The sequence below is a fragment of the Homo sapiens genome, chromosome 10 (genome assembly GCF_000001405.40).
Source record: "Homo sapiens chromosome 10, GRCh38.p14 Primary Assembly".
NCBI lineage: Eukaryota > Metazoa > Chordata > Mammalia > Primates > Hominidae > Homo > Homo sapiens.
This window is the reverse complement of record NC_000010.11, coordinates 110,849,541-110,876,316: the sequence shown is the minus strand read 5'-3', so window position 1 is coordinate 110,876,316 and position 26,776 is coordinate 110,849,541. Positions and strand designations below refer to the sequence as shown.

The window sequence follows — 26,776 nt, the reverse complement described above, 5'->3', positions numbered from 1 at the left end:
AGATATTTCAGCCTAGGCAACATAGTGAAATCCTATCTCTACAAAAAATAAAAAATTAGCCTGGTGTGGTGGCACACACCTGTTGTCCCAGCTGCTGAGGAGGCTGAGATAGGGGAGGATCTCTTAAGCCCAGGAAAGTCAAAACTGCAGTGAGCCATGATCACACCACTGCACTCCAGCCTGGGTGACAGAGCAAGATCCTGTCTCAAAACGAAGAAAAAAAGAAAAAAGGATATCCTTACTTACCTGCAGGGTTTACATTCAGTATCTGCTCATTTTCTACATCCATTTTCCCTTAATTTCGCTTGCACTGATTAAACAAATTACCTAATGGAAATCTTCCTTCAGAATCTGTTTTTTTAAAAGAAAAAAAGAAAGCTTCAAGATCTTTTAAACTGATGTAATTAAGCTGAATTAAACTTACTTAAGCACACTGTAAAAACAAACGACAACAACAAAAAACACACAATTCCATTAAATAAAACAGTTCACTTTACTTTCAAAGACAACTTACCCTAATTAACATTTGGTTCCAATCTTTTTGATAAATTTATCAAAGTCAAAAAAAAAAATCCCAGATTTCAGCATGTGCCAAAGCACCCCTTTAATTGGAATTAAAAGATATGTTTGTGATACATGTTTACGTCAAGTTAAAGAAATACACACATCCAAATCTTTTAGGAATACCAAGCCTCAAAATTAATCTGATATACATACATAGGAATATAAATACTGGATAGTTCCCTACCAATGAATTATGAGAACTACTCCAAAATAAAAACAACACAGTTTTAGTTAATAAAGAATATCACATGACTGTGTTATTTTTCACATTACGGCATATCTGAAAGGCAGATATATCTGCCACTCATTACCTAGGTCTCTATAATTACTAGAATAAGACTTTGGGAGAAACTTTTAAAATCAGCTTTTTTGATAATATTATTTATATGAGAAATCCTTTTTTGATAATATTATTTATATGAGAAATCCATTTTTTAAAAATCTGATCATTTCAGAAAGGAGTAAGTACAACGACATAAGCATTTCAGTATTTTAGGCCTCAGTTTCAAAATGGCTTAAAAATTATTAATACTGGAAGGTTTGATGAAATCAGTTACCTTTTAGACAATTAACTTAGTGATACAGATCCAATAATGTTATATGAAAGAAATATCAAAATAGTTTTCAAAAAATATATTACCAGAAAGTGCAACCAAATTAAGATTTCAGAATCTCTCTAGAAGTATTTTTTAAATAGTGGTTTAGAGTACTTAAGTGTATGTTTAAGTCACATAGGTTGGATATAAGTCCTTCTGGTCATTTACAATCAGGTTGCTAGCAGTGTGCTCTTCAGAGATATAAAATGCACAAATTAGTGAAAATGCCTAATAAATTAATTACAGAAAAGCACATTTTTTCCTATATAACTTAACCTACTGTTAGATGTCATTTTAGGATAACAATGATATATACAGAGCCTCCTGGGACTCAAAGGTGAAACTGACTTTTAAATTCCTCATTATGTACTACTATTTGCTAACATAAGTTTATAGCCCTTTTCTTCAGAAAACGGTATTATTTTGTGAAACAAAAACAAATGGACCTTATGTTAAAATTATAGGCTTCTTACTATGGTATAATCCTCAGACTAATATGCTATCATATTGCTTGGGAACTTAAGAAAATGGTGAGATCATTCTCTAATTCTGTTAAGAATAAATTAATATATGTGAATCTTTATAATCACTTTTCACTATAACTCCCGCCAACTTTAGATATGAAAAAAAAATCTTAAAAATATGTAGAGATTCATATAAATATATGAACAAAAATGGTTTGCAAATCTAAACACTCAGCATCCTTCATGGCTGAAAAGGCTACATTCTGTTTTAATTCCATGCATGAAATACATATAGGAAAGGAATAATGTCATATGATACGTGTTTCAGTTTTTTAGAGTTCCATTACAAAGTCTTTTTCATTCTTGATGAAAGTATAACTTTTGAGAGAATACTTTCTGCAGAACCTAATAAGCGAAATGATTATAATTGATGTTCATAAAGCCCTTTACAATTCAAAAAGAATTGTACATGTATTATTTAATGTACCTTACAGAAAAACCTTCGGGTAGGTATTCCACCTTACACACAACTAAACAGATTCAGAGAGGGTAGGTGATATGTCCAAGGACAGACAGCTGCTTAGTGGAACAGCCAGGATGAGAATCCAGACCTTCCAAATCCAGTACTGTTTGCACAAGTTCAATCCAAAATTTTAATATCCCACAGGAAGATTCTTTTCAAGGGTTAACAGAAGCTTCTTAAAACAGACTTCTGCTGTTCAAACTTTTAAATGCTGTTTTCCAAACACTAAAAATAATTATTTTAAACTATTATACAGAAGGCATTCCGTCAGACAAAACTGTCAGGAAATGACTATCATCTCTTTTATTAAGATAAAAACAAAGTTATCTTAATAAAAAAAATAGTCCTGTGTCTTTAGGCAATGATAACCCGATCAGGAACTCAAGTCATATTTGACAGCAACAAACACGTTTTAAGAGTTTAGATAAGACATGTTCCACGTTTTTACGCTCTTTAAAGTAGTAGGATTTTTTCCAATTTATTTAACAACCCTTAATTGGCCCAAACAAGAAAATATAAAGCAAAAAATCCAAACGCTATTTCCTTCATACTAACCTACAAAAATGAATTTTCGATGAGAAAACTATACATACAAGTTAGAAGAAAATGAAGGCTGACATTAAACACTGTTCTTTTCTCCAGTGTGTTACACGAAATATACAATCAGAAGTATTCAACTGCCAAGACATTCCCTAAGAGACAGACCCTCCACTCCCCCACGAAATATATACATATGTATTTCCTGAAATATACCTCATAAATTGCTCTGGCATTTTGGGGAGTCAAGCTTTGGCCATTTATTAACTAGGATTACTTGTATTCATTCTTCGGCTACGAACGGCTAATTAGCAGCTTAAAACCAGCTAAAAGCATTCTACTACAGTAATGCAAAAGCAAGCACTACAGATAATATTCAAGCGGCATTTATTTTTGCAGTCCTAATATTTTTTCCTTTCACATTAGTACCACAGAAAAAGCCAGTCAATTATAATTCAAATACACTTACTGAGATATTAACGTATTCAATAAGCCTATAATGAAGGAATATTAAGGGCATAAATACCAGTAACTCCTTGCTTAAAAAGCACTTGGTGGTTTCCCAAAAAAGTCACGTTAAGAATATCAAGATTGTAACAATTAAAGTAAAAATACAAGTTAAAAACAGGGGAAACCCTTTTTTCCCCGACACCTAATCGCATTTCTGATCGTTTTCATCATTTGTAGACACTACACAGTTGCTGGCTACGTAGCGAGTTCTCACAAGGGGGAGGGGGGCGAAATTGACGTCTGCAGACAGTTTTGAAGCTCTTGCAAAACCCCATGTACGTTACAGCATCAAACTGACAAATGGAGAAGATGGCATGCGTTTCACAGAAAGGGGGCTCCCTTCCCGGCTTTGTTTTCTCTGGGAGATTTTATTTTACCTAAACTAAAAAAAAGAGACCCTTTGCCGGAAGACGGGCGCGACGAAGTTCGCGCAGGGATGGGGCGGCGGGCACGTGTTCGCCTCCCAGCGCCCCCGGCGAGGATAGCGCGCGGCCCCTCCCCACAGCGGCCGGGCCTGTTCTCCCGCAGCGGGCTCAGGCTAGGACCCCCGAAGTCCCAGCCCGGGTCGGCCCCCGGAAGGGGCTGGGCCGGGGCCGAGGCCGGGGCTCCGGGTTCACGAAGGACAGGGGGCCGCATCTTCAGAGGATTCCCAGGGAGGGCAGGGGGCGGGGAGGGCGCGAATCTTCCTCACAGGATTTCAGTCCAGCCGGAAACACGCCTTCCAATCCCGGCCCCCGAATTCAACCTCCGCCAGAGGGGGAGGAGGGCTGAGGGGGACCTTCAAGGGCGAGCGCCTCGCGCGCCCCTCTCAGTGGGGAGATGGCTCCGGGAGGGGGCGGGCCCGCGCCGACACGCTCCAGGCTGGGCTCAGAAAGAGGGAACCAGGCCGGATGCCCGCAGTCCGGGGCGTTGGGGAGGGCGCGGCTGGACCTGCGGGGCTACAAGAAGGCAGCCGGACCCCCGCACCGCAGGCCCGGACCTGACAGGACCGCGACCCCCACGCCTCCGCCCCCGCCCCCTCCCATCTTGCGGCTGCCTCCGAGGAGGGATGGGGGAGAGGGCGCAGTCTTCCCGAGCGTGTGAGCCGCGCCTACTGGTACTGACCCCTCGGGCCCCCGCCGCTGCTCGCCCAGGTTCCTGGTCAGCCGGCCCCGACCCCGCTCTTCTGTCTCTGCCGCCGCCTCGGAGAGTCTCTGGCCCTTCTCGCTCTGTTTGTTTTTGTTTTCTTCTACCCAGTAACACGGGGGCGAGAGGGCGGCGCTTATTGGCCGAGGCCGGGTGGTCGGCTGGCCAATCGTGGCGGCGGAGCCGGAGCTGAGGAGGAAAAGGGAGAGGAGTGAAACGTGGAAAGTTGGGGAGGGGCGCGGGAGGGCGCATGCGCATGTGGCTCCTGGGACTGGCTGGAGCGGGAGTTGAGCGGGAAGTCGGGGTGGGGGTATGTTGGGAGGCGTGGCGGGATGGGAGCGTTGGGAAAAGGGCAGTGCTGGGGGATGGGGACGAGGATGAAGCTTCCTCGACCCAGCTCACCCATTCTCCTCACAGGGCGTTCTGCAAACTCGGCTGAAGCAAAGGTTTTGAGCTTCCTGATGGTCCCTGCCTCCATTTCTAGAAACTGCTTAGGCGAACACTCCAAGTGATCAGCCTGTCCGATTCCTCCTCCCTCTGGCCGCTGCTTTCTCTGTGGCTTCCAGTTTCTGGAGATCCCATGCTAAGAAGTTTCTCTCAGCGAATCCCCTCAAACCTTTGAGATGGAAATAATTCCCATTTCACAGATATAAAGCAGGCTCCAAAACTCTTTGAAGTTCCTTTGCTAATCATGACTAGCCAAGCCTCTGGCGTTCAAACGCACAAATTCCGGCCTCCAGTGCTGGGGTTCTCAGCCATGGCTACAATTTCTGTATTGAAACTTCCACCTCCCCTCGCTGTTCTCTGTGACTTTTCCTCTTGGCTGCATTGGTTTTGGCTGGTACTATCCTTACTCTTTCAAGGTCACGGTCCCCTGAGGGTGATAACCAGAACCTTAGGCTTCCTTTGTGTTCCCAGGCGGGGACTTAGCCACTGCCTCTGATCAGATTTTTCAGTTGTCTGATGGGCAGCACCGAATGATTGCTTGTGCTCTCCAGAACCCAACTGCCTCATCCCGCACAGGCCAGCGCTTTCCCTTGGCTGCCCAGTCACCCTGCCTGGGAATCATCTCTAATGCTACTATTTCTCTGCACACACACGCACACACACACACACAAACCTTCACTGGCTTCCCATTGCCTCTCTTGAGTGTCAGCGCCTCGGTCGGTCATTCAAGGCTCCGTGATGTGACTTCAAGACTTTCAGGCTGTGTCTCCACACATCTCCCCATATGCTTCCTCACCCCCTGGTAGTTCTTTATATATCACCTTGAAATGTCTCTCTTCTCATCTCCTATCTCCGCCTGATGCAATCCTTCTGTGCCTCATGGCCCTTCCTGGTAGTTTTTTATTTTGTTGTTGTTGTTGTTTTATTTAATTGAGGCAGGGGCTTGCCCTTTAGCCCAGGAGAATGCAGTGGCATGATCACAGCTCACTGCTGCCTCGACCTCCGTCAGCCTCCCTAGCTCAACGATCCTCTCACCTCAGCCTCCTGAGTAACTGGGACTACAGGCACAGCTCACTATGCCCAGCTAATTTTTGTATTTTCTGTACACACAGGGTTTCATCATGTTGTCCAGGCTGGTCTTGAACTCCTGGGCTCAAGCAATCAGCCCACCTCTGCCTCCCAAAGCGTTGAGATTACAAGCGTGAGCCACCATTCCTGGACCCTCGTAGTTTTTCTGGAGCCTCGTGATTTGATATGATCTTCCTGCCGCTGATTCCTCACAGTGTTGGCTTGCCACACCTCCAGGGGCACTGATCACATTCTACCTGGCATTATTTCATCTGAGTCCCTGTCCTAGCCCTTCTGCCCATTAGACTGTAACCTTGTTTAGGGAAAGACCTGTGTCTTACTCATCTGTGATTTTGTTGTTGTTGTTGTTTTGAGACAGGGTCTTGCCCTGTTGCCCAGGCTGGAGAGCAGTGGTGCAATCTTGGCTCACTGCAGCCTCAACCTGTTGGGGTCAAGCCATCCTCCCACCTCAGCTTTCCAAGTAGCTGAGACTACAGGCCTGTGCCACCACACCCAGCTAGTTTTTTGTATTTTTAGTAGAGATGGGGTTTTGCCATGTTGCCCAGGCTTCTCTTGAACTCCTGAGCTCAAGGGATCTGCCTGCCTCGGCCTCCCAAAGTGCTGGGATTACAGGCGTGAGCCACTGTGCCTGACCCACTCACCTGTCATTGTAGTACTTAAGATGCCTTGTTCATTTATTGTGCCTGTGCAATAAATACACCTTGATTTGAGTTTACAAAGATTCTCAGCAGTTGGTGGTCATCCTCATCTCCTGGGCGGGGGCCTCCTGGTGTGGCCAGTATCTGAATTAGTCTCATAACTCATGTTCACTTTTTAAAATCGGAGCTTCCCAGACCTCAGTTTTGTTTTGTTATTTTCCATTATCTGCAGCTGTCTCCTTTCCCCTCTCTCACCTATACTCTACTGATCAGTGACTGCTGGCTCCTTTGTTACCCATCCTTCTCTTTCTCCACATTTTTTCTCTTCTCATCCCTTTCAGTTCTGGACTGTTTCCTTCTTCCTCCCTGTCTTTCATTTAGTCATTCATTGAATGTACTTACTAAGCACATATAGCATAATCAGGCTGTGTTGGGTAGGCATCCCGAGTTCTATGAGATAAAGAAAGAATGGGATATGATTACCAATTTTAAGAAGCATCTAAAACAACCTGTTATGTTTTAGCAAATTGCCCCCAAAGGACCCATTAGGGAGGAAAACGTTCATGTCCTTTTTGCGTATCATCTCAAGCAGTACCCATGATGGCTGGGATCCCAGAACCCACCTTTGAGAATGCTGCCGTATTTGCGTGTGGTTGACAAGGTTGGGCCAGACACTCAGGAAATAGGGTTGTCGTCCTACCTCCCCCACTAACTTCCTGTAAGAACTTCAGCCCCTCTCAGGACCTTTTTCTTTACCAATAAAATTCAGAAATTGGGCTCAATCAGTAATTCCCAAGTTATTTTCCAAAGAACATGAATTTTGTGGAACTTTAATAGATATCATGCAAAAAAAAATGTGGGAGGGATTGTTCCATGGTCAAATGGTCTTGGAAATAACTCGTTTAAACAAAAATAAAACTGTTTCTTTACCCACAACTCTTCTCAGTGGTTTTTTGTTTGTTTGTTTGTTTTTTGAGATGAAGTTTTGCTCTTGTCGCCCAGTTTGGAGTGTAATGGCACTATTTTGACTCACTGCAACCTGTGCCTCCTGGATTCAAGTGATTCTCCTGCCTCAGCCTCCCCAGTAACTGGGATTATAGGCGCCTGCCACCACGCCTGGCTAATATTTATATTTGTAGTAGAGTTGAGGTTTCACCATGTTGGCCAGGCTGGTCTCGAACCCCTGATCTCAAGTGATCTGCCCTCCTCGGCCTCCCAAAGTGCTGGGGTTACAGGCATGAGCCACCGTGCCCAGCCTTCTCAGTGTTTTTAATAAGCTATGTGCCTTTAGTGTCTTGGGAGACCAAGGTAGGAAGATTAGTAATGTTTCCTACCTTGTTTAAACACAGAACCTTTTTTTCTCAAGATACCCCAGAAGCAGTGTTATTTAGAAACCAACTTGGGAAATATAGATGACAGCCACTGTCACCAACATTCCTTCCAGCTGTGTTGAACACTTAGTCACCTGTGCCTTTGCAGCTGAACATTTAACAAAAAAAATTTTTTTAAGAATAAGCTGAAAATGGAGAAGTATCCAAGTGCCAAGAATTTTTGCCTACCAAATCAATCCACAAATATTTTAGTGTGTGCCTGTTCTATGAAAAGCACAGTTGATTCAGCTGTGTTCTTGGTAAAAGGCATTATACTACTTTAGGGTAGGTAATATCTGAAGCCTAGGGCTGCCCGGGCTTCTGGGCCACAATGTATGTTTTCATTTCACGTTGTAATTGTCACAAACTAGGTTTCTGTTACCTGAATCCCTGTGCCTATGGGCTTATGTTAATTTAGCTATTAGATGACAGAAAAGGAGAGAGGCCTTCCCCTTAACTCACTCTATACAGAATAATGGAATTGCAACTTCCATTTCCCTTAAGAAAGATTCATTCCAAGAGCTTAGGAGAGGAAGGGAGATCACAGTTGCCCAGAACAAGACAGCTGCTCAGAGGTGGCAACAGAAACTCTGTGCTTTGTGAGTAGATAAACGTTACATACTTCATCTTCCCCGTACTCCTCAGGCTTAAGCAGTATTGAGATACTTGGAGGGGCGCAAAGAGTGTTTGGTTTTGTCAGGGGAGAGGGTGGGAGATAGTTCCTATTTTTCGCCTCTTAAGACAAGGTAGTGACCCTGTCCCTAACTAGCTGTGTTGCTTTGGGTGTTTCACTTCCTCTCCCTGAGTGAATTGAATGCTTCAATTTTCTGTGCTGTAAAAGAAGGAGGTGCCCATTGCAGGGAGTCCATAAGCAGCCATTCAGTTCTAACACCCTGGGATGCTGAGCAAGGTACTGAGTTGGTACCATGGGAGTCCTGGGAATGGAGAACAAGAGATAAGAAAGTTTGCTGGCCGGGTGTGGTAGCTCATGCCTGTAATCCCAGCACTTTAGGAGGCCAAGGTGGGCGGATCACTTGAGGCCAGGAGTTTGAGACCAGCCTGACCAACATGGTGAAACCCCATCTCTACTAAAAATACAAAAAAATTAGCTGGGCGTGGTGGTGCATGCCTGTAGTCCCAGCTATTCAGGAGACTGAGGCAGGAGAATCTCTTGAACCTAGGAGGCGAAGGTTGCAGTGAGCTGAGATCCCGCCACTGCACTCCAGCCTGGGTGACAGAGACAGACTCCACCTCAAAACAAACAAACAAAGGAGTTTGCCACTGTTGGCAGGAGAGGATTCCACCGGGTATGGACAGAGGGACTGTCAACCCAGGGGCTTTCTCCTAATGCAAAGCTCAGATAATATCACCTCCCTCCATCCCAAAGGCAAAGTGATGGCTGGTGTGGGTTTAGGAGCACTAATTAATTAATTTGGGTAAAGTACTTGAAAAAGCACAGTTGAAGGCAAAAGATAAGCACCTAGATTTACTATTAATGCCTTTGGAACTCTCCAAGGCCTTTTCATTCTTAGGGTAAAGCCTCATTTGAGAGTTCTGTTTCTTAATAAGAAATGGTCATGCCCCTAAATGAAATTGAGGAGAATTTGTCTTTCTGGGGGCTAAGGGTAGGTCTTAGCCCACTTCCTTCCTAAGAAATTTTAGATGCTGCTGTCATTTGCAGCAACTTCATCTACCTGAACTGACGCCTTGTCTCCTTTTGTCAAACCAAAGCCTGAATTTTGAGAATTTCTCTAAGGCAAAAATTGCACTTTAGCACAAATGGTAAAAGATATAAAACATGTTCTGAAGAAAGAGCTGCATAAAGAATTCTTATAATAATGATGATAGCTGACATTTGTGTTGGCCTAAGATTTACTGAGCACATGTGCATAGACTTTCACCACCTCCCTATGAAGTGGACAAGATTCTGTGCTTTAAACATGAGGGAAATAATGAACCTTGAGCAGGTCACTGGTAATCATGGAACTTTTATACTGAAAGGAAATTTGGGGATTCCCTAGTCCAAACCTTTTATTTTACAAATGGAGAAACAGATTCAGAGAAGTTAAGTGGGTCACCTAAAGCCACACAGCTAAGTTAGTAGCTGAGCCAGAAGTACATATGAGATCTCTGCCCAGAGTTGTAGGGAATGTGCAGACCAGGAATCCAGACCTTCTGGCACCCAGGCTGGGCTGGACTTTCCCTCACATGCCTCTTGATTGACAGTTAAATTTCTGGGTCCTAGAGGCTCCTGGTATCAGATGAATCCATCTCAGGGGCCTGAAAGTGGGGAAGAGGGAAAGGGTAGTAAGCATTGTACAACGTTTAGAAACCCTTCAAGGGGCATTTCTTGCATGTCTTTCCTGGGGTAAAAAGCAAGCACAGAGTAATGTGAAGCATAGTTCAAAAAATAGATGCAATATTTTACTGTGGTATGTACCAAGAAAAATTGAAAGACTACTAAGATTTTATTTCCTCAATTCAGGTTTCGAAAGGTTTTCTTAGTACATTTGTCTTTTATGGGGTTTCCCCCCCTCAAATCACTCCTACCACCTTAGAGATTTAGAAAAAAAGCTCAATTAACATTGAGGAACTCCAGCAAGAAATCTTTCCCGCACCATATCCCCCGCCAAAACACAAATTTTACCACATCTCCTATACTTGGCCTAAGTTCTAAGCCTTTGCAAACTCCAGTTCATTAGACTTTTGCAAACACAGACCATTCCACCCGATGCTTTTCAGCATTTATTATAACTGCCACGCCCTGCATTTAATAGTGTTGAGTCAGGGTAGAGAAGTGCTCCTCCAGTTGTATCTCTCGGGGCTTTATTCGCATTCTTCTGGAACACTGGATCCTGGGCTAGGCTTCACATGTCTCAGAATTAATCCTCTTTTCTCCAGCTGCCCTGAGTGCACATAGCTGCCATTATGCCCCCCTCCCCTCTATGTCTGCAGTGTCGGCTTGCTTCCCAGACAAGGAGGTAGGGCCCAGAAAGCCTGGTATAGAAATGAGGAACTTTTCATTCTGGAAAATAAATGAAATGAATGATCTTGGGTTGTGATTAAGACAGCCAAATCTATAAGGAAGTACAAACAGAGAAGGCTAGAGAAGGGCAGGGGTAAGGCAGGGCTGAGGAAGGGGGATGGCTGAAGAGACAAATGCTGGGTAGAAGTTAATTAATGGAACTAATCGAACCTCTATTTATTTTGAGCAAAAATAAATAAATAAAAGTAGTGGCAAGAGAAGAACAAGGGAAACCCAAGAAAGATGTTGCTTTTTGTTATTAAATGTTTATAATAAAAATGAAGCTAGCCCCGTAGAAGTTCAGAGAAAAGAATAAAGTCCCAGGAGATGACCTGGTGAGGACAACTTGCTCAGATAACAAATGAGCAAACCAAGGCCCAGACAGAAGTGGTGCGGCTCCTGGCAAGACACAGACAGAGCCATAGGACCTCATTCCACGGCCAACAGCTGCCTTCCTTTTCCATATGGTTCTCTGCATGTGTCTTGTCCTTCTGCCCTGTTTTTTTTTTCTTTCCAAAAAGCTAGGAGGACAGCATTCAGAAAGAGAAACTAGGACTGGCATTTGTAAACAACAGCTCCAGGAAGTCCCCAAGTACCGCAGTTGAAGTAACATGATTGACAGTCATTCAGCGCAATTGACAAAGCCAACATCAAAACAGGAACTAGCAAGCAACAGGCCACCCTCCAAGAACCAAGAGTTCAAAAGAAAGAAAAAAAATAACTGCTCAGGGGACAACTGAGAGTCTTACTATCGTTTCTTGTGTTACATAGGTCTATGATATGTTTTGTTTTCAGAGAGCTCTCTTTGAGGACAGTAAATCTAGCCCAGTGATTTACTGGTTGGCTTCAGAGGGTGCAAGAACACCCTAAAATTTTATGCAAGTTTTATTATGAATATGCATTTGATGCCACAATGGGTCAATAACTTTTTCCCATAAGGCCCCCAAAAGAATCATGTCCCAGAAAAGATCAAGAACATCTGGAATATGTTTCTACATTTATGTTATTACATGTTATTACATTTGGGCCCATTTTCAGACTGGGTGTTTGTATGGTAAATGCATCTGATAGCAATAACTAAAGCATACCCTGAGAATGAACTTGTATGACAAATGCACCTGAATGTGTGTTCTGAGCTAGGGAATCTGGAAGTGGCCAACCAGGAGATTCGTTCCTTGTCTGTCAGGAACATCTGAGCCCCCAGACCATCCTGTGAAACATGGGCTGTACAGCAGCTTGAGGCCCTGAGTTTTGGGTTGAGTGAAGGTTGCCAGGTGGAGGTTATTAGGGAAAGGATGCTAAGTGAAAAAGATATGTAAACTGCATGCCTTTTGCAATCAGTTGTGGTTCTTCTGTCCAGCCGGCCACCACTGCACTTTGCAGTTATCTTGTCCAGCCCACCATCACTGGACTCTGTCTCCTGTATGTAAGCCCCCAGCCAAACCCCATGTCTCATTTGCTGGCTCTGGGTCTCTTCTTCTGCCTCTTGATCCTGGCGCTATCCCCATTGGAGTAGATAGGGGTTTGACACAACAGTATTTCATCAAGAGAGGCCACCAGACTTACCTTTCCTCTGTATGTCAAACCAGGCGCAGTCAAAGTACTTCAAAGTAACAATAGGAAAACAAAACAAAATTGGTTTTTAAGACAGCAGTGGTCCTAAAAAGAGATGAATTGCCATCTTGGAACACCCCATAGTCATTCCAGTCAGGCCTGGCACCTACCTCCCATTATGATGACTTCAATGGGCCAAAAATATAAGCCAAACCTCCCAACATTTCCTAAACAAAAGTCAGCCCCATTACCCATGAGTGTATCTTTAAAAAACTCTTGAACTTATTTAAGAGAGGAAGCATTACATGGTGTCTCTCAAAATATGCTCCACAGATGTTCCACCACAAAAGGGTTTTAGGATGAAGTAAGTTTAGGGAAACTGCTAATCATCTCCCCTCTTAGAAAATCACAATAAATAATGGTGTTTTAAAGGCTCTGAGAAGTTCTGTCATAAGTAACCCATTCAATTTTCTTTAACCCCATGTTTGCTGTTCTTATCTGACCATAACACCCTTTTGTACATAGTGTCTATTAACGTCTTATGGAATACATATTGGAAAACACATTTAATGGACTGGGATCTGGACGAGAAGGCAAGAGGTTTGGATTCCAATCCTAGTTGTGCTACTAATTGGAAGTATGACCTTGAGTAATTTGATGGCTCCAAGGGTGTAGAACTTAAAACGTTTCCCAGATTCTTTCTGGGGCTGTAATCTATCCAATATGATCTGTGAGTTGGCTGAGATCTGGTCTAAGATTCTGCTTATAGCCATTGCCCACGATTATGCATGTTTTCTTCCAGGAGACTGTGTGGTGCAATGATTTCACTTATAAGCTACCTTCTCTTAAGAACTCTTTGGAAAGATAAGGCAAACGTCGAGGCACCAGAACAAAATGTAACCAGTGCTGTAAAGCTTGGTCAGCTTTATTCACTGTGATGAATATATGTGGTAGGTCCATAGCCATAGAACTCAGCAAACACAAAGGCAGCTGACTGGTGGCCATGTGCATTTGATGGGGCTGTATTTTTGGAAACTACACAACCTCTTTGAAGCCACCAAGGTTTTAGCAACTGTGATCACATAACCTTAAAGAGAAAACTCCTCTTTTCAAAGAACCAAAGTTATTACCACAGGTATTGTTACTCTGTGGGAGAACCCCCTCTCTCAGAGAAAAGGAGTGCTGACTCCAGCTTACCTTCAAAGGCATTTGAGTCAGTAACAGCCCTGACAGCAAGCTTTCCCAGGGAATACTAGAGGCCTGGGAATACTTTAAGTACCACCTGTGAAGCGTCTCGAGCTCTTGCACAATTATTATAAGTTGTCTTAATGCGTCACCCAGAGCAGTAGCCCAGGGTGACACATTAAGACTACACGTGGTTTCTGCATCCTAGGCACAGGAAGTTCCGTAAAATTTCCACAGGCAGATCATGGGGAAGACATCTTAAAAAGCAGAGGCCGCAGGGCTGCAGGCAACAGGGCCAGAGATAAGTCAGAACTTGTTCCATGGAAGGGCTTTTCTCCAGCCACCACTGTGGCAGTACATCATGTCTTTGTACTGAGGTGGGGCTACATGTTTAGGCAGGCTGTGCTGTGTGCATCTTCCTACCTAATATAAGGAATCTTCTAAAAATAAATCCATATCATTACCCCTTTGCTCCTTGGTGCCTCATGAAATTTAGACAGTTTAGCAAAGCCTACCTATATGTTTCCAGCTGAACTTTGCCTTGTGTTTGAAAGCCTGGGCTCAGCAAATGAGTACTATACAACTGTGCAAAAGAATGAGGAAGATTGCTATATACTCCAATAAAAAGCTCTCCAAGACTACATTAAGTACAAATCAGTGTTAATATATGCCACTTTTGAATAAGAAAGAGGGGTAAATAAGAATATTTACTCAGACTCATTTATATTGACATAAACACTGAATAACATATAAAAAACCAATGTAACTGTTTACATCTATAAGGGCAGCAGGCAGTTGGTGTGTATGGGATATACAGAGACCAGCAGGAGATGCCAGGAGGGGAACAAGACATTTACCTATTTATATTATTATATTTTTTGAACATATTAAAAAGCATAAAAGCCTGGGCTCTGGAATCTGCAGAAGTTGGTTTGACTATTTGTTCTTCTATTTCCTAGTTTTGAGTGAGTTATTTCACATTTTCTGATCCTCAGTTTCCTCACCTGTAAAATGGGGATAATTACAGTATCGTTGAATTAGGGATGTTATTCAAATTAAATGAAATAATGTTTGTAAAGTACTTAGTAGGATGCTTGACATATTGCAAGTATCTAATAAATAATAATAATACTTTAATAGCTTTCGATATTATTTTTACTTATTGAAATCTAACTGATCCTTCAGGCTTAGGTAAAGTAATGCTTCCCATGAGAAGTTTTCCCCAGGCCAGGGCAGAGTGAAGAGACTCTTCCTCCATTCCTGCCATGATATGCCTATCTGTTATCATGCTGCTCCCCAAGCTCAGCTGTTTGTTTTGACATCAGTTCCCCACTGGACTGTGGCCTTCTGAAAGGCAAAAACCTTGCCCCTGCATCAGGCTTATTGTAGGCAGGTGGTTGTCAATAAATGTTTGGTGAAAGACTAAAGGAACTAATAAGATTTCTATTTTCTGTACAAGAGCCTGTCTGAGGCTGCCCACAGAGTTTTACTTCCTGGTTTAGCCCGGCAGATGCCTACCTGTCATTTGCTAGGTGTGTGTGGAGTTACTCAGGAGAATGAACTGCAATAAGCTGTCCTCAGCACTTGCAGCTCATGCTTGAGTTTGCTGTGAATTTGCCAGAAGGTGAACTGTGGCCATCTGTAGAGGCCTCCCAGGAATGGCGGGAAGCTGAAGCCCTCCAGGGACCGCAGCCATGCTGGATCCCAGGCAGAACGCGCAGGCTGACACTCCAGCTGTCCCAGCCTGAGGCAGAACTGATGCTTCTACATCAGCCCAGGGGCTAGGCCCAATAGCCCCAGAGCTGTTCCTGCCCTCCCTGAGTCTGCTTCTCTGGGGTGAGGCCTGGTTCAGAGGAAGAGCTGACAAAAATAAAACCAGAGTGACAACGTGCTGTGCAGGAAGTTGCAAGTCTGAGAGCCAGAACAGAACACAGGTACCTAGGTGACATACCACAAGAAAAGTTGCCTGAAGAGCAGACCATAGAACAAAACCCCGACTGTATTTGCATTTGTGGCCTTCTTCTTTTAGGAGTCAAGCCAACAATGCCTACTGTTGTCAAGCAGATCTAAGCCCAGGGTGGACCTCTGGCACTAACCAGCAGGTTGAGTTTAAACAAGAAGCCTCTCTGAGCCTCACTTTCCTTGTCTGAGAGCCACTGGGAGAATTATAGAAAAAACATATACTAAAGGATCAAGCATTTCTAAAATAAATATGTGTCTTTCCTTCCTGTACTATTGAGCACTGTTGAAGGTGAGAAAGACAAGGCTTCCACAATCTTACCGTAGAGAAGCATGTACACCACATATATATATATACACATAATACACATACATCACACACACATATACATACATGCCATACACCACACACATACATACATGCCATACACCACACACATACACCCCCATACACACCACATAGATACACACACACCCCCATACACATGCTAAGTTTAGAACATTTATGAAGCAACAGCTCTAGCAACAACTGAAGAATTTCACAGTTCTTCCATTGGCTGCTTCCTAACTAGAAACAGATTGCCTTACCCCCAGCTGTTTCTGGGCCAAAGTTCCTCTAAATGTGGGTTTACTCCTGGTAATTTCGTTTCCTTTTCTCAGTTAACAGTCATGTGACACCATTGCCTGGGTGTCCTCTGCAGCCCTGGCCTTTTATCAGTTCATAAATCCAGAAACAGAAGGAATGCTTACAAAAATGTATGTGGACTCCACCATTTATTGAGTGACTGCTGTGTGCCTGCGTACTCCTTGGTCTCTGATCCTCATCACATCCAGCAAGATACTGCTATTATCCCCCTCACACAACAAATGAGGAAATTAAGGTTCAGAAAGGTCAAAAAAATCGCCCAAGGCCTCACAAGCAGTAAAGGGCAGGCTTGAGATTTGAAATTAGCCTGAGCTGTTTCAACACAAAACTCAATTCCAGCTCTTAAGGAGTTCCCAATCTACTGCCCTAAATACTGCCGAGGCCATTTCCCTCTCGAGTTTCCACTTGGGTCCTTCTTGGCCTGAGCTCCCTCTCCTCCCCTTTTCCCTCTGGGAGCAGACTCCTGCTGGCAAAAGGCTGGTGGTCTCCACTTCCCTTGCCTCCTGCCAGTGTAGGCAATGCAAACTTCTCACTGGAAAACACCATGCCTTCTGGACAAAGGCTCTGTGTGATGTTCTAGGACCTGCCCGACAGGCCTTCTGTGAAAAGACCCAGCTGGGGTAGCTGTGCTGCCAGGCCTTGGATGGGCAGAGTTCATAAACAGCTTCTCCAGCCATGGAGCTCCAAATGCACCCAAGCCAGGTGCTGCCTACCTCAGTGTCCAACCAGCCCCAGGGCTTGGCCAGACAGAGTCCTGTTCTGGGAAACCAGCAGGGCAGCTGGATGTTCAGGGGCGGAGGCTGTAGGTGGGCTCCTTCACAACAGAAAATAAGCTTCTGAGTCAGGCAGACCCTGCTTTAAATCCCTTTAAATCTACCACCTTCTACCTTCCTGACATTAGGAAAGTGGCTTCTAGCCGGGCGCGGTGCCTCATGCCTGTAATCCCAACATTTTGGGAGGCCGAGGCAGGTGGATCATGAGGTCAGGAGTTCAAGACCAGCCTGGCCAACATGATGAAACCTTGTCTCTACTAAAAATACAAAAATTAGCTGGGCGTGGTGGCACATGCCTGTAATCCCAGCTACTCAGGAGGCTGAGGTAGGAGAATTGCTTGAATCTAGGAGGCAGAGGTTACAGTGAGCTGAGATCATTTCACTGCACTCCAGCCTGGGCAACAGAGCAAGAGTCCATCACAAAAAAAAAAAAAAAAAAAAAAAAGAGAAAGTGACTTCTGCTGCCAGAGCCTCAGCTCCCTCACCTATAGATGAAACTCATAACATCTACTGTCCCTAGCCCAACACTTGGATCTCAGTCTCTTCATCTCCTGAAATAGAAGAGTTGGACCACATGACCTTGAGATTACTATCTGAAACACTTCCTATGCAGGCTGGGGTGAAGGTGTCCTTCCTGCTCCTGGGTTCAGTGAGGAATTTAGATGTCTTTCTCAAGGTAAGTTCATCCCTGTGGGAGAGTCCCTGGTTTAATTCAATAAATTTTATTGGGCACCCCATAATGCATACCATACTAAAGCTTCAACGTACAAAGATAAACAAGCATAGGCCCTGCCCTTAAGGAACTGATAGACTAGGCCAGCAGGAATGATAAGACTCATAAAAACAACCATTGTACATAGTGGAAAGTGATAAGTGCACAAGGAGGGGTACAGATAAAAGACCAGGAAGGTTGAGAGCAGGCAGAGGGTGACTCTGGGCTGGGAGGGAGCTAAAGATGTGGCCAGTCCATAAAGAGTCTTGAATGAGTTTGGACTTTATAGGGCCAACTGTTGAAAGCTCTTAAAGGTTTCTGACCAGGCAGTGGGCAGATCAGAGCCATGGGGGCTGGAGCTTTTTGTTAGTCTTCTACCATCTGGAGTAGTCAGACCGTAGAATTTCTAAAAGGGAAAGGGCCCTTTTCCACCATTTTCACAAGGGTTTTGTTCCCTGGATGAAACCGTTCAAGATTTGCATAAAATGTGCAGCTGTCAATGGCTGCCCTTTGTTCTGGCCCTGAATCTTCTGCAGCATGATGCCTACTGTCTTTCTTCTCTGTGCCCTCTCACCCAGCTGTCTCCCTGCATGAAAGACAAGAGAATGAGGCACATGGGGCAGGAGGCCGGCACCCAGCTCAGGGAAACAGTCCTGCCTCAACAAAGTCCCCTGGGACCTTTGCTGCCGTACCGCCTTGCCTTGGCCCAGGTCCCAGGATTATGGGAGAGAGTTGGCCTGTTGAGGAGAGAATGTGTCAGTGAGTTGCAGTGCCTTGAGTCTCCTGAGACGTGTGCGTGTGTGTGTTCAGGACTAGGTGTTTTGCAGCTGATTTCAATCTAGGTCAGAATTGTGCAACCCTCAGCACGTTGCTATCTAGAGAAGATAAGCTTGAACAATCCCTTCCAGGACCAGCAGCGATAAACTACGGCTCTGAATGTAAACACAGCTGTTTGGCAAGCTCTAATTTCTGGAAATGAAGGGGCCTGCTGCATTAGCAGAAGGGATCCAGGTGTATCATGGAGTTGTTTAAACCTCCCAGAGGGGCTACTGCTGACCCTCTCTTCTGAAGAAAAGTCCAGGAGAGGTGCTGGTGAGCTTTGCCCCAGTCACGCTTCTACCACTTGGCTCATCCAAGCCAAAACTGACAGGGCCATGGATGGAGGAAGACACCCACTCACTTGCCATGTGGCCTTGACTGAGTCATCTTGTCTTATTGGCATCCATGTCCCCATCCGTAAAATGGAGCTAGTGCAGTAAAACCACATCAGTGTGAAAGCAAAGAAAATCTCAAAAGACCTGTGAACGAGCAGAAGAAATGACCTCTCTTATCAGTCTATCCCCTTTACTCAGATAAAAATCCCTTAGAGCTCCTCCTGGAGCCTGTGTTTTCTTGGTTGTTTTTTTTTTTTTTTAACTTTTTTTTTTTTTTATACTTTAAGTTTTAGGGTACATGTGCACATTGTGCAGGTTAGTTACATATGTATACATGTGCCATGCTGGTGCGCTGCACCCACTAACTCGTCATCTAGCATTAGGTATATCTCCCAATGCTATCCCTTCCCCCTTCCCCCTCCCCCCACCCCACCACAGTCCCCAGACCAGAGTGTGATATTCCCCTTCCTGTGTCCATGTGATCTCATTGTTCAATTCCCACCTATGAGTGAGAATATGCGGTGTTTGGTTTTTTGTTCTTGCGATAGTATACTGAGAATGATGGCTTCCAATTTCATCCATGTCCCTACAAAGGACATGAACTCATCATTTTTTATGGCTGCATAGTATTCCATGGTGTATATGTGCCACATTTTCTTAATCCAGTCTATCATTGTTGGACATTTGGGTTGGTTCCAAGTCTTTGCTATTGTGAATAATGCCGCAATAAACATACGTGTGCATGTGTCTTTATAGCAGTATGATTTATAGTCATTTGGGTATATACCCAGTAATGGGATGGCTGGGTCAAACGGTATTTCTAGTTCTAGATCCCTGAGGAATCGCCACACTGACTTCCACAATGGTTGAACTAGTTTACAGTCCCACCAACAGTGTAAAAGTGTTCCTATTTCTCCACATCCTCTCCAGCACCTGTTGTTTCCTGACTTTTTAATGATTGCCATTCTAACTGGTGTGAGATGATATCTCATAGTGGTTTTGATTTGCATTTCTCTGATGGCCAGTGATGATGAGCATTTTTTCATGTGTTTTTTGGCTACATAAATGTCTTCTTTTGAGAAGTGTCTGTTCATGTCCTTCGCCCACTTTTTGATGGGGTTGTTTGTTTTTTTCTTGTAAATTTGTTTGAGTTCATTGTAGATTCTGGATATTAGCCCTTTGTCAGATGAGTAGGTTGCGAAAATTTTCTCCCATGTTGTAGGTTGCCTGTTCATGTTGAGAATATGCTTGGTTTTCTGGCTTCCGAGCCTATCATAGATGACAAACAATTGATGAGCAGGAAGTTCAGCTGCTAGAGATAGGCACACTGATTGCTGATAGAAACATAAAAAAGCAGAGAGAGAGCAAGGAAATGGAAAGAAAAACTGTAGGGCAGAAGCAAGATCTTCCAAAGCAATGGGAACCGTTTAGTACTAGGGCAAAGGCATTTACACGTGGCAGTATCTACAAAGCCATCTGCCTAGGAGCCTGGTATGACAATTGATGCTTACAAAGGCTTTCCAAGGAAATTTCAAATGATTGTACTCTGTAACTACTGTTTAACAAGGCAGGGCTTTACCGAATGTTATTTTAGGAAAATTTTCTTACAAATGTTTCTAGTAAATAAAGTTTTGGTGCTTAAGGGGGAAACTTTTCAATATCTTGAAATTTCATATATGGGAAAATACATAACTCTTTCACGAGTGCTCTGGAGGACACAATTATACCTGTTCTCTGCATGCCAGAGTTTTGTCCAAGGATCAAATCAAATAATAGAGATGCTATTGTACTGAAAATGTATAAAACACTACCCAAATTAACCACTAGGACAGTGAGGAGCAGTCACTTTGGTCTGGAATTCTTCTTTCTTTCTTTTTTTGAGACAGAGTTTTGCTATTGTCATCCAGGCTAGAGTGCAGTGGTGCGATCTTGGCTCACTGCAACCTCTGCCTCCCGGGTTCAAACTATTCTCCTTCCTCAGCCTCCCAAGTAGCTGGGATTACAGGCATGCACCAACACACCCAGCGAATGTTGTACTTTTAGTAGAGATAGGGTTTCACCATATTGGCCATGGTTGGTCTCGAACTCCTGACCTCAGGTTATCCACTGGCCTTGGCCTCCCAAAGTGCTGGGATTACAGGCATGAGCCACCATGCCCGGCTGGTGTTGAATTATTCTTGAAGACTTCTTAGAAATGATACTAACAAACATGCTTGTTGATGAGTTGGCCTGGAACGTAAATTCATTATGCCTTCACTTGTATTTAGAGTGTGAACTTTTCCCAACACAGATGCCACACCCACTGTGGGAGGCGCTAAAAGGGGGAATTGGGAAATAAAATTTGCAATCAGAAGAAATGTCTTTGTTCAGTGAGTGGAGCTGTTATCTTCACATCGGGGTAAACACTGTGGGCTTGTAGAGAAATGCAACCCATTGAGCTACACACCTCTGTCTGGGACTCACTGTGCCCTGGGATAAGGAGAGGCACCCAAGAAGCATGGGGCTGCCCTCAAGGAGCTTACGGTCTGGTGCTTTTCAAGGCCACCAAGGTGGCTGCCCAATATGAGATATCGACAATAGCAGCCCTCCTGACACTTTTTTCTTTAAATACATTTCACTACACAAATCATAATTGTTTATGTAGAAAAAGAAAATATAGGTGATAAGATGAAAAAGTTAATATCTGCAACCCATCACATAGAAATAACCAGTATTAACATTCTAGTTAATAATCAACATTAACAAATTGTAGAATTGTTTATATAAGTGAGTACAATAATGGGATCATATTTGATATTGACCTCTTTTACTCAAAAATGAGCCCCCCCAGTACATTTAGAGTGATGAGAGAAGACAACCTCAGAAACACATCCTGTATGCTGAGAATATAAATTCTTCATCTATTCCAAATGTAAATTTCTGATATACTAAAGATGCAATTATAAATATATGGAGCCATAAAAGTATTATAAGCAAACAGAGGAAAATAATTACATAACATCAGCATGGGGAGACTGCTTACACAAGACAGGAAACCCAGAAGCCATGAAGAAAACTATTATAGATTTGAATATTGAAACATTTTAAACTTCCACATGATGAAAGACAGCACAAAGTTTAAAAAAATGATAGACCTAGGTAAAATATTTGCAACACTTAAAACATGAAAGATTAATATTCCTAATATCAAACACAGACCTCTGGCAGTTCAGTACCTGCTTCAGACCCTGATACTCACCCCTGGGAGCTTCAAAACACAGTGTCTTTTCTCTCTGCCAACAGATGTTTATGCTTAATGTACAAAAAGTGCCTATAAGTAAGAACAACTCAAACATCCAAATAGATAAATAGGAAAGAAATATAAACAAAGAATTCACAGAGGAAAGGCAAATGGCCCATAAACATAAAAAGATGTTCTCTGTTGTCAAGGAAATGCAATAATTAAAAACTTGATAGTACAGAGTGCTTGCAAGGATATCTGGAGTTCTCTCACACACTGCTAATGCAAGTGTAGACTGGCACAACTTTGGGAGGAAGGTGATTTCATAGAATCTACTAAAATGTTAAATGTGTGTCCTTTTTGACCCAGCAACCCCATGTTCAGTACTCTGTCTTACAGAAATAATAACACAGATTCATAAACCTGTACATCCATTGCAGCAAGATTTGTAATAGAAAAACATTTAAACCAAGAAAAACATCCATCAGTAGGTTGTGTTAATTATCATTTATCCATATTAGGGAATATTATACAGTCACTGAATAGTACAATATTTTATCTGTGTTGACTTGAAATGATATACACATATTGTTGAATAGAAACAAAGCAAGTGTCAGATCAATATGTACAGTAATATGTAGCTTGTGAAAATATGCATGTGTATCTATATCTATACATATTTGTGTCAGTATAAGCCTAGGGAAAATCTGGAGGTATTTGAACCAAAGCATTATTAATACAAGTCTGGGAAGGGTATTGGATTGGTGAGGAAGAAGACTCTTCTCTTTACACGCATTTTTTATAGTTGAAAGTATTCTCTCTGCTTTGTATGTAAATTTACTGAGGCTTATAGAAGTTGTCATTGCCAAGGTCAAATAATGGAGCTACTGAGTAGCAGAACCAGGCTCTGGGTGAGGTTCATTCGGCCCCAAAGCCCATGTTCATTTCACATTGCTAGGCTGCTCCCGAGGTATAGGGTTAGCAAGAATAGCTTACAGGATTCTATCTGAGATCTTAAGGACCCAGGCAGACAAGATTAAGTCTATGACTAGCCCTAGAGGCATTGCTTGGATGTTTCTGGAAGCAGAGGAGAAAGGGTGAGTTGCAGGGATGTCCTGGGGACACACCCTGCTTTCAACTTTTGCCTCTGTTCCTGGAGGTGCTAGGCGGTAGTCACTGAGTGATCTAGATTGCCTTTCTGGGATGCTTTTTTTCTTCCTCTCTGTACCGTTTCCTCAGTGGTAAGTTGTGAGAAAGATGATGTGCCTGTTGTCTTATCCACAGATTTTCTGAGAGGACAAAAGGCGATTACTGTGGACTCCTCTAAAGGCTGCAGCCATAAGGAAAAAAAAATTTCTAATCTGAAGAAATGAAACGAAGCTACAAATGAAACAAAGAAATGAAACAAAGTTATAAATGAAACAAAGTTACAAAGAAGTACTTAGCCTCCTGAGAGGACCATCCCTGCACCCTTGCTGTGCTCAGGAGTCTTGAGCTCTTAGAGGCTAAGGCGTCTCATTAGCTACCCTAGGCAGAAAATGTGAAGAAGGCCTTAGCAGGCAGCTTTGCCCTGGGATGCCGCTCTCCACCTTGTTTTTCATGTGCTGGTGCTGCTTTTGCCTAACTCTCTGACCAACTGCCTGAATCAATATGACAGAGCAGCCCTATCCTGGTTGACATTCCTGGACTTGGCTTTTCCCCTGCTGGTCTCATGGCACTCACCTGATCCTTCCTCCCGGTAGGTTTCACACAGAGCACTTCTAGGTAGCCGTGCCCTGGGCAATGTGACTCACTGACCAGCTGACACACTTCAAATTCCAAAGCTGTCAGGGTTCACTTTGACTCATCATCCTATCGACATGTACATGCAGGCTGATCAATTTCCAGTGACCTGCCTCTGGATAGTAAAGTCCCTGAGGACAGTGACCATGTCCATGTGTCCGCTTTGTTCACCAATTGCACACTCAGGACCATAGAAGACTCCTAGAAGAACCTGGTGACTAAATGAATATAGGAAGAATCTACTTAGGCTCCCTTTTCCCCTGCCATATAAAACAGCTTAAGTCATTGAAGATAATCCACTTGAGCGGGGATTGGCAGACATTTTCTGTAAGCAATCAGCTAGTACATCTGGGCAACATAGTAAGACCTCGCCCCTACAAAATAAATTAAAAATCAGCTGGGCATGGTGGCAAGTACCTATAGTCCAGCTATTTGGGAGGCTGAGGTGGGAGGATTGCTTGAGCCTGGCAGGGTAATAAGCCTGATGGCACCACAGCACTCCAACCTTGGCAACAGAGTGAGACTCTGTCTCAAAACAAATCTGGGATTCCCAGGCAAGTGGCAAAATCGAGGTTATGATATAGGTACTTAAAAAGCAGAAGAGAAAACAAATTCCTATGATATTTGTATTAGTGAAGTTCAAAGTATAATAATGAATACAGTTTTTAGATAAAACATATCTCCTAATAAGAAGATTAAAATTCTTTTTTCATAAATAGCATTTTCCTTAGTTGGGGCTCAAAGTGTTCTATCATTAAAATCAATTGCAAATGTTCATCTGCTAATGCTGATGTGTAAAGAGATTTTATGTATTTCATATTTGATTTTCATATAATTCGCATATGTCATAAAATATTCTTTTAATTTTTTTATTGATTCTTAGCTTGAGGGCAGCACAAAAACAGACAGTGGGCTGGATTTGGCTTCAGGCTGTAGTTTGTCAGCCCCTGCACTTGAGGATACTAGAGAGTAAAGTATTCTCATTCTCTCTCTCGCTCTCTCTCTTTCTGGCCTCAATCTTCCAAGTCCTGCATTTTCTAAAACCTTGGGGTTTCCAAGACACTTTCACTCCTGTTCTTGGTGCCCCTTCCTTCTCAAAGAAGGAAACACAAGTCTGAGCCTGACAACTCCAGAGAATACGTCCCAGGGGCTTCGTTATTTCCCAACTGAGCAGAGTCAGAGCTGCTAAAGGCCTTTCCTTTTCCAAAGCTGGCATTAGGTCTCTGTCAACCACACAAAAACCGCTGGGAAGGGCTTGCCTGTGCTGCTTCTCCACCTCAAACCACAGAAGAAGGGCGGCCTCAGAGAGGCTGGGTAATGGGAAACAGTTGTGCTTGCCCAGCCCCGCTCACGGAGGGAACATAATCAAATGCATAAAATCTCACTGCATCCTGAAAAACATATCATTTTGGGAAGACAACTGACCACAGCACAGAGTTCAGTGTTGGCAAAATAACATAAATAATGCACTACAAGGACCTCACCTTTTGTAAATATAGAGAATACTAAGGAGATCAGATACTTGTGAAAGCATCAATCATTCATGGATTCATTAATCTATTCAACAAATTTTTCAAGGGTCTCTCATGTGTCAGGCACCGTATCAGGCCATGAGCATACTGCACACTGCAGAAAATAAGACAGTCTCTGCTGTCATGAAGTTTGTAATGGTGTTTAAGAGCATTTGCTAAAGCTCAGTGTTCCATGGTACATTATAAATATTTCTTGAATTAAAATGATTGCATGGTGAAATAGTTGGGGAAAACAGGGGTTAATAAAATAACCAGGTTACTTGATTGTGAAACCTTTCTGTGTGGCTTTCCATTGAGAGTCTCAAGAGAGAAGTATATAGAATGCAGCCTTCCCAAGCTTATTTAACTGTGGCATTCTTTTGTGAGTTGTATTTTGTGGCACCAGAGTCACATGGAACATAGTTTGGAGAGCACAGCTCTCAGGACCACTGGGCACACCCATGTAGGTTGTGCACTGAACAACTCTGATGGGACCACTCTCATAGACTACCATATTACATGGTGCCCTGGAGCTGTATGACAGTGGACATGATCTCTGTAACTACAGGGCAGAGCATGGGCAGCACAGCGTTCATTTGACTACCGCTCAGCCTCCTAGCCTCTCACTTTTTCCCACAGAACAGCAAAGGTGCTAGTGGTTTTACCCACCATTGTTTTTGCCCCATCAGTGTGAATGTCAACACAGTGAGAAAGGCAAATAAAATCTCAATGTGGTTATAAAAATAGTTTTGACTTCATGCAGGGATCTGCAGACCACACTTCGAGAACCATTGACTTACAGCTAGCAACCTCAGAATTAGAGTGTGTCTTTTTGATGGTACTGACAAAATCACAGGGAACATTTTGATTGGCCCATTTGGATTATGTTCCTCATCCTGAATCAATTGCTGTGATGAGGAGGATGAGGTTCTCTGATTAATCAGGCTTGGATCATGTGAACACCTCTCTGGGAAGGACAGGACAGATGGGCCCATGCAAATCACAGGGAATGGGTTCCCGCAATAAGCAGTGGTTTTCTTGCAGGAACAAGAGGGAAGGGATATTGCACAGGCAAAAATAACTTATGTAAAACATCAGTTCAATAGGGTAAAAGAAGTTAGTGCCTAGGCTAGTGGCTGGGCCTATTCCTGGGAGAACCTGAGGCCAGCACCAGGCAGGAGAATGGATTAAAGGTGATGAAAAGATTCTTAGGCAGGATCCCTGCCCCTGAGGGCACCATGTCCTGCAGCCAGTCTGGCTTAGCCCAGCAGGCAGGATGAGGCAACCAGACCCAGGTTTGGTCAGGTTGTGTGTGTGTCTGCAGTGGTGGGTACTATGTGTGTTTGCAAGGGCAGGTGCTTCTCTCTGTGGCTCCCATCAACAATGTTGGGG

The 26,776-nt window shown here is 43.4% G+C and overlaps 1 protein-coding gene and 3 long non-coding RNA genes across 6 annotated transcripts in view, besides 15 other annotated features; 2 read left to right on the top strand and 2 right to left on the bottom strand.

Moving 5' to 3' along the window:
• Positions 1 to 4,389, bottom strand: part of PDCD4 (programmed cell death 4) — a 28,079-nt gene extending 23,690 nt beyond the window's left edge. For all 3 annotated transcript variants that reach the window (NM_145341.4, NM_014456.5, NM_001199492.2), the window contains exons 1-2: positions 4,299 to 4,389; positions 247 to 351 (exon numbers count right to left, since the gene is read on the bottom strand). Coding sequence is in view for 2 of the 3 variants with exons in the window: in NM_014456.5 (NP_055271.2) it covers positions 247 to 289 (43 nt within the window). In the remaining variant the exon portion in view is untranslated. The remainder of the gene's footprint in view (positions 1 to 246; positions 352 to 4,298) is intronic.
• Positions 3,637 to 3,836: a silencer, noted in NCBI's record as "silent region_2826". NCBI's record gives its function as "represses an Ori minimal core promoter by ATAC-STARR-seq in GM12878 lymphoblastoid cells {active_cell/tissue: GM12878}" and the evidence as "EXISTENCE:reporter gene assay evidence [ECO:0000049][PMID:35858748]".
• Positions 4,047 to 4,196: a silencer, noted in NCBI's record as "silent region_2825". NCBI's record gives its function as "represses an Ori minimal core promoter by ATAC-STARR-seq in GM12878 lymphoblastoid cells {active_cell/tissue: GM12878}" and the evidence as "EXISTENCE:reporter gene assay evidence [ECO:0000049][PMID:35858748]".
• Positions 4,227 to 4,276: a silencer, noted in NCBI's record as "silent region_2824". NCBI's record gives its function as "represses an Ori minimal core promoter by ATAC-STARR-seq in GM12878 lymphoblastoid cells {active_cell/tissue: GM12878}" and the evidence as "EXISTENCE:reporter gene assay evidence [ECO:0000049][PMID:35858748]".
• Positions 5,281 to 5,891: an enhancer, noted in NCBI's record as "H3K27ac-H3K4me1 hESC enhancer chr10:112630184-112630794 (GRCh37/hg19 assembly coordinates)". NCBI's record gives its function as "activates a minimal SCP1, AML or CMV promoter by ChIP-STARR-seq in naive and primed H9 embryonic stem cells {active_cell/tissue: H9 hESC(naive and primed)}" and the evidence as "EXISTENCE:reporter gene assay evidence [ECO:0000049][PMID:30033119]".
• On the top strand, positions 5,413 to 7,427 carry PDCD4-AS1 (PDCD4 antisense RNA 1). The gene has a single exon (NR_026932.1). It is a non-coding gene; the product is annotated as a PDCD4 antisense RNA 1 (long non-coding RNA).
• Positions 8,529 to 8,598: a silencer, noted in NCBI's record as "silent region_2823". NCBI's record gives its function as "represses an Ori minimal core promoter by ATAC-STARR-seq in GM12878 lymphoblastoid cells {active_cell/tissue: GM12878}" and the evidence as "EXISTENCE:reporter gene assay evidence [ECO:0000049][PMID:35858748]".
• Positions 8,719 to 8,768: an enhancer, noted in NCBI's record as "active region_4057". NCBI's record gives its function as "activates an Ori minimal core promoter by ATAC-STARR-seq in GM12878 lymphoblastoid cells {active_cell/tissue: GM12878}" and the evidence as "EXISTENCE:reporter gene assay evidence [ECO:0000049][PMID:35858748]".
• On the bottom strand, positions 9,869 to 15,778 carry LOC124902500 (uncharacterized). Its single transcript, XR_007062288.1, has 2 exons — positions 15,146 to 15,778; positions 9,869 to 10,143 (listed from the first exon to the last, which is right to left on the bottom strand). It is a non-coding gene; the product is annotated as an uncharacterized LOC124902500 (long non-coding RNA).
• Positions 11,170 to 11,549: an enhancer, noted in NCBI's record as "active region_4056". NCBI's record gives its function as "activates an Ori minimal core promoter by ATAC-STARR-seq in GM12878 lymphoblastoid cells {active_cell/tissue: GM12878}" and the evidence as "EXISTENCE:reporter gene assay evidence [ECO:0000049][PMID:35858748]".
• Positions 14,886 to 14,955: a silencer, noted in NCBI's record as "silent region_2822". NCBI's record gives its function as "represses an Ori minimal core promoter by ATAC-STARR-seq in GM12878 lymphoblastoid cells {active_cell/tissue: GM12878}" and the evidence as "EXISTENCE:reporter gene assay evidence [ECO:0000049][PMID:35858748]".
• Positions 15,236 to 15,545: an enhancer, noted in NCBI's record as "active region_4055". NCBI's record gives its function as "activates an Ori minimal core promoter by ATAC-STARR-seq in GM12878 lymphoblastoid cells {active_cell/tissue: GM12878}" and the evidence as "EXISTENCE:reporter gene assay evidence [ECO:0000049][PMID:35858748]".
• Positions 15,816 to 15,945: an enhancer, noted in NCBI's record as "active region_4054". NCBI's record gives its function as "activates an Ori minimal core promoter by ATAC-STARR-seq in GM12878 lymphoblastoid cells {active_cell/tissue: GM12878}" and the evidence as "EXISTENCE:reporter gene assay evidence [ECO:0000049][PMID:35858748]".
• Positions 16,443 to 16,942: an enhancer, noted in NCBI's record as "H3K4me1 hESC enhancer chr10:112619133-112619632 (GRCh37/hg19 assembly coordinates)". NCBI's record gives its function as "activates a minimal SCP1, AML or CMV promoter by ChIP-STARR-seq in primed H9 embryonic stem cells {active_cell/tissue: H9 hESC(primed)}" and the evidence as "EXISTENCE:reporter gene assay evidence [ECO:0000049][PMID:30033119]".
• On the top strand, positions 17,460 to 25,677 carry LOC124902499 (uncharacterized). Its single transcript, XR_007062287.1, has 2 exons — positions 17,460 to 17,681; positions 23,376 to 25,677. It is a non-coding gene; the product is annotated as an uncharacterized LOC124902499 (long non-coding RNA).
• Positions 18,228 to 18,357: an enhancer, noted in NCBI's record as "active region_4053". NCBI's record gives its function as "activates an Ori minimal core promoter by ATAC-STARR-seq in GM12878 lymphoblastoid cells {active_cell/tissue: GM12878}" and the evidence as "EXISTENCE:reporter gene assay evidence [ECO:0000049][PMID:35858748]".
• Positions 18,363 to 18,732: a transcriptional cis regulatory region, noted in NCBI's record as "candidate enhancer chr10.4148 targeted for multiplex CRISPR interference". NCBI's record gives its function as "positively regulates PDCD4 gene expression in K562 cells {active_cell/tissue: K562}" and the evidence as "EXISTENCE:mutant phenotype evidence [ECO:0000015][PMID:30612741]".
• Positions 18,398 to 18,527: an enhancer, noted in NCBI's record as "active region_4052". NCBI's record gives its function as "activates an Ori minimal core promoter by ATAC-STARR-seq in GM12878 lymphoblastoid cells {active_cell/tissue: GM12878}" and the evidence as "EXISTENCE:reporter gene assay evidence [ECO:0000049][PMID:35858748]".
• Positions 23,474 to 23,523: an enhancer, noted in NCBI's record as "active region_4051". NCBI's record gives its function as "activates an Ori minimal core promoter by ATAC-STARR-seq in GM12878 lymphoblastoid cells {active_cell/tissue: GM12878}" and the evidence as "EXISTENCE:reporter gene assay evidence [ECO:0000049][PMID:35858748]".
• Positions 25,678 to 26,776: the final 1,099 nt, after the last annotated feature.